This window comes from Homo sapiens, chromosome 1 (genome assembly GCF_000001405.40).
Source record: "Homo sapiens chromosome 1, GRCh38.p14 Primary Assembly".
NCBI classification, from domain to species: domain Eukaryota; kingdom Metazoa; phylum Chordata; class Mammalia; order Primates; family Hominidae; genus Homo; species Homo sapiens.
Window position 1 is genome coordinate 120,145,008 of NC_000001.11, and position 5,890 is coordinate 120,150,897.

The window sequence follows — 5,890 nt, forward strand, 5'->3', positions numbered from 1 at the left end:
TGAAAGCCTTCCTATTCCATCTCTGGTTGTAATAAAGCAGACAGAAAAAGCCTCACATTCAGAATTGGCTCTTCTAGCAATTATGAAAGAAATTACCCACCCCCTGGAGCTCTCTTGACATATAGGGTGTCCCTCTGGACTTTTTCTTCAAGCAAAGAGCAGCTATTTTGATTACAGATTAGAAAATTTATCTGTAAAATGGGGGATAGTAGCTATCAACTTCACAGGGCTATGGTGAGTATCAAAGGGAAAACATGTCTGTGAGAGCACCTTATACGCTATTAATATGCCTAGCCTACTTATAGTAGGCTAGCCTACTAGTTACTTATAGCCTACTGCTCAAGTTATCACCAAGGTCTGATTTTTTGACAAAAAAAAAATTGCAACCTCCGGCCTAAGTGAGTTAAGAACAGTTCAAATGATAGTTGCTCTTGTCATTACAAGATAATTCACTGACTAAAGATAGAAAGGCACGGGGATATTTGAATAATGAAAGAATGAGAAAGATTAGATGTAGACAACATTTTATCTGAATGACAAACATATACTCTATGATAGGAACACATTTAGACACTGCTGAGGATCACTCTTTGGACTTAGGTAGGCATCCTAAACTATAAATCAGGCCTGAACACCTTTTCTCTTACACATACAAAACAATTTATTTAAAAACTGGTGCTAAGTAGGATCTACAAATCTAGAGTTAAATGGAAAAACATGGGTAGGAGTTTCTGGAAATATAAGTCAAATAATTAACATAAGATTGAAGAAACAGTCAATTATTTTCTTCACAGGACAGAGAAAAGGAAAAATCTTATTTGGAATGAATGTTATATTTATTGTAATAGGATTAGCTTTGTCACCTAAATACCATCATTTTTAAAGGGCTATTCTTTACAGTATAGTTCTTTTCCTCTCAAGGAAAAACTGCTTTAGACATTTTAATTGAGGAAAAGGCAGAGCCTTTGGAGTTTTGCTGCCCGCTTCTGGGAACATGAAGTCATAGCCTGAGAAATTGCTAGAGGATCCTAAATATTGCAATATATAACAGGAATAATTCCCTTTTCCCTATCAAAAGTAAAATAACTGTGAAACTGGATGTTAGTCTCCAGAGAAAAGCCAGGATTGTACTGGTCACAAATGCTTTTTTAAACAGTTATAATAGTAATAGAAGTGAAACAGTATGGTATACTTGTACATCACTTCAAGGTTTATAAAATCTTCATGACCATTATTGCATTTTACCTTCTTTTATCCTCAAATAGTTCAAGTGAAGTAGGCAGAACAGACGTTATTCTCATTTTCACATGGGGAAACTGAAGTACACAGTGTCTAAAAAACTTACCTAAAGTTCTGCTAGAGTGCTGAGCTGGGCCTTGAAGTCGTCTCCCGACTCAGAGTTCAATGCTCTTTTCACCCACTTCCCTACTGCATGCAATGTAAGTAATTTGTTTCTGTTGCAGTTACATCCCTCCTCAGCAATGTCCACATTACACCACAGTGTCCAGTAATTTATAGAAAGAAATCTGCTGCTTTGTATATGATTCTAGCAAGGCTACGCTGTTATTGTGGCAAAAACGGATATATTTAAATTCCACAAACGAGTGGATGGGCTATAGCAGAACTTCTTAAACTTCTGCTTGGAAGTTCTTTAGTGTCTTTTTTTCTTCTTCTTCTTCTTAGATTCTTTAAAGCAAGCAGAGTTTTGTAATATTAAGTCTCAACTCTGCTACTAGGGAAAAATGAGTTTGAGAAAGACGGAAGAAAAAGTGGAGTATAAAAATTTTTAAAAATCAAGAAAAACCAATTTGAAAGTCAAAGTTCTTTTATTCTAAAGCTCTAAGTGTGCAAATAAACCCACTCTGTATATTTATGCAAATAGCTAAACAAAAGGCAGATAAATAGATATAATCTTCAGTCCATGTATTGGCCTAACTGCTTGTCCCTGCATGCCCAGTCCAACAAACCTCACTGCCTACCTACACAACCAGCAAGTAAAAAATTGGGAGTTTAGCAGGTACAAATTGCCATCAGTTGGTCAAAACTAAGCCGGTAAAACCAGTTTCTTGGGTATGGTAAAATATTTCTTACTTTATATGGCATATTGGTCAAGGTATTTATCACTGAACTGGAGTCACTTTTTCAAAAAATTAGTTAACAGATCTGAAATGCTCATTAAATATTGTCTCCACAACATAAAAGTAATCGTAAGCATAATGGTCAATTGGAAACATTCCCAGTCCAAGATTTGTTGCTATATTTGACTTCTGTGCTTTCTCCCCAAGTCTAATTTATCTCTATGCCTTAATTTCTCCTCCTTCTTTGCCTCCATACCTTTCAATTGTTTCTGCCACCAAAGAATCAATTTCACTTGCTGTATTTTTTTCCCTTCTCCAATGTGTTTACTATATGTTGATATAATTGTACTGGTTCTCTCTTTTGTTGCGACTTTTCAATGTGCCTTTCTTTTCCCATTTCATTACTAGACCTACACCGTTTTGCCCCACTTTTGTTTTCTTCTTTTATTCAAATTGTGTGTACCTATGATTCATGAAACCCAGTTCCAAAAAACTTATGCATACATCTCTGTAATTCAGTGAACTTATACCATGAATATTTGTTGCACACCTCCAATGTGTCAGCCACTGTACCCAATGCCAAGGATTCAAATTGAATAATAATTGATCTCTATCCCAGGCATCTCATAAGGCACATAGCCAAGGAGACAAACAAGTATGCACTGACAGCTAGTTTAAATTTGTAGGTTTTATAATAGAAATATGAACAAGTTATTGTGGGAGAATGAAAACACAGCTTCTCCCAGGTCAGAGAGTAGGGGGGTATGAGAATGTCAGAAAGGCTTTATGAAAGAGACATTTGAGCTGGGTCTTTGAAGGAAGAGCAGAACTTTACCAGGTGTCTTGTTTGTTTTGCTATATGCTTTATTTTACATTTTTAAAAAACTTTTCTTTAAGGTTTTGGTGTACAGATTATTTTGTTACCTGGTAATAAGCACAGTACCCAATAGGTAGTTTTTCTGTCCTCTCCCTCCTCCCACCCTCTACCGTTAAGTAGGCCTTGGTGTCTGTTGTTCCCTTGTGTACATGTGTACTCAATGTTTAGCTCCCGCTTATAAGTGAGAATATGCGGTATTTGGTTTTCTGTTCCTACATAATTTAGCTTGGGATAATTGCCTCCAGCTCCATCCATGTTGCTGCAAAGAACATAATCTTATTTTTTTATGGCTGTGTATATTCCACGGTGTACGTGTACCACATTTTCTTTATCCAGACTACCACTGATGGGCATTTAGGTTGATTCCATGTCTTTGCTATCGTGAATAGTGCTGCGATGAACATATGCGTGCATGTGTCTTTATGGCAGAACAATCTATATTCCTTTAGGTATATATCCAATAATGGGATTGCTGGGTCGAGTGGTAATTGTTTCAGGTTCTTTGAGAAATCACCAAAGTGCTTTGCACAACGGCTGAACTAATTTACATTCCCATTAGCAGTATATAAGTGTTCCATTTTCTCTGCAACCACGCCAGCATCTATTGCTTTTTGACTTTTTAATAGCCATTCTGATTGGTATGAGATGGTATCTCATTGTGGTTTAGATTTGCATTTCTCTAATTATTAGTGATGTGGAACATTTTTTCATATGCTTCTTGGCCACATGTATGTCTTTTTGAAAAATGTCTGTTCGTGTCATTTGCCCACTTTTTAATGAGGTTGTTTTTTGCTTATAAAGTTCCTTATAAATTCTGGATATTAGACTTCTCTAGGATGCATAGTTTGCAAATATTTTCTCTCATTCTGTAGGTTATCTGTTTACCGTGTTCACTGTTTTGTTTGTTTGTTTTTGGCTATGCTAAAGCTCTTTAATTAGATTCCATTTGTCAATTTTTGTTTTAGTTGCAATTGTTTTTGGCATCTTTGTTATGAAATCTTTGCCAGGTCCTATTCCAGAATAGTATTTCCCAGGCTACCTTCCACGGCTTTTATAGTTTTAGGTTTTATATCTAAGTCTTTACTTCATATGAGTTGATTTTTGTATATGGCAAAGGGAAGGGGTCCAGTTTCAATCTTATGCATATGGCTAGCCACTTATTTCAGCACCATTTATTGAATAGGGAGTCCTTTTCTCATTGCTTGTTTTTGTCAACTTTTTTCAAATATCAGATCATAGGTGTGCAGCATTATTTCTGGGCTCTTTTCTGTTCCATTGGTCTATGTGTCTGTTTTTGTACCAGTACCCTGCTGTTTTGGTTACCGAAGCCTTGTATTATAGTTGAAATTGGGTAGTGTAATGCCTTCAGCTTTGTTCATTTTGCTTAAGATTGTTATGGCTATTCAGGCTCTTTTTTAAGTTCCATATGAATTTTAAAAGTTTTTTTTTCTAATTCTGTGAAGTATGTCACTGGTAGTTTCATAGGAATAGCATTGAATCCATAAACTGCATTGGGAAGTACAGCCATTTTAACAACACTAATTCTTCCTATCCATGAGCATGGAATCTTTTTCCATTTGTTTGTGTCATCTCTGATTTGAGTAGTGTTGTAATTCTTTTTGTAGAGATCTTTCACCTCCCTTGTTATCTATATTTCTAGGTATTTTTGTGTGTGTATGGCTATTGTGAATGAGATTGCATTCTTGATTTTGACCCTCAGATTGAATGCTATTGGTGTATAGAAATGCCACTAATTTTTGTACATTAATTTTGTATCCTGAAACTTTGCTAATTGTTTATCAGATCAAAGAGCTTTTAGGCAAAGACTATGGGGTTTTCTACAGAATCATATTGTCTGCAGAGATAGTTTGACTTCCTCTTTTCCTTGGATGTCTTATATTTCTTTCTCTAACAGGTTATCTCTGACTAGGACTCTCAGTACTATGTTGAATAGGATTGGTGAGAGTGGGCATCTTTGTCTTATTCTGGTTCTCACAGGGAGTATTTCTAGCATTTGGCCCATTCAGTATGATGTTGGCTGTGGGCTTATCATAGATGGCTCTTATTTTGAAGTATGTTCCTCTAATGCCTAGTTTGCTGAGGGTTTTTAACATGAAGGGATGTTGAATTTTATTGAAAGCCCTTTCTGCATCTATTGAGATGACCATGTGGTTTTTGTTTTTAGTTGTTTATGTGATGAATCACATTTATTGATTTGCATATGTTGAACCAAACTTGCATCCCAGGGATAAAGCTTGCTTGATTGTGGTGGATTCGTTTTTGACATGCTGCTGGGCTTGGTTTGCTAGTCCAGCAAATTGAGTCATTGAGGATTTTTGCATCTATGTTCCTCAAAGTTATCCATATTCAGAACTCTATTTTTGTCATGTCAGCCTGGTTAAGAACCACTGTTGAGGAAATAGTGCAGTTGCTTGAAGGTAAGAAGGCACTCTGGCTTTTTGAGTTGCCGGAGTTCTTGTGCTGGTTCTCACCTGTGTGGTCTGATGTTGCTTCAACCTTTGAAGTTGCTGTTTCTTGGATAGGTTTTTCTGCTTTTGTCTTCTTTGATGCCCTTGGTGGTCTGAATATTGCATATAATGGGCTCAGCCAAGTGGCCTCATTTCTGGAAGACTGTAGGGGCCAAGGCTGAGCTCAGCACTCATGAGCTGTGTGTTCTAACTCTGAGGAGGCTGGTATTGGACCTCTGGCTTTGTTTTCTAGCCCCTCAAGGTTAGGAGCCTAGCAGGTGTCTTAAACTGTTTTCTGTTGCGATAATAGAATACCTGAGAGTGGGTAACTTATTAAAAAGAGTTTTATTTAGCACTTGGTTCTGTTGGCTGGGAAATTCAGGATCAGGCAGCTGTATCTGGTGGGTTCTCATGACTGCCTCATGCTGCATCAAAACATCGTAGAGAAACAGAAGGGGACCGAGTTT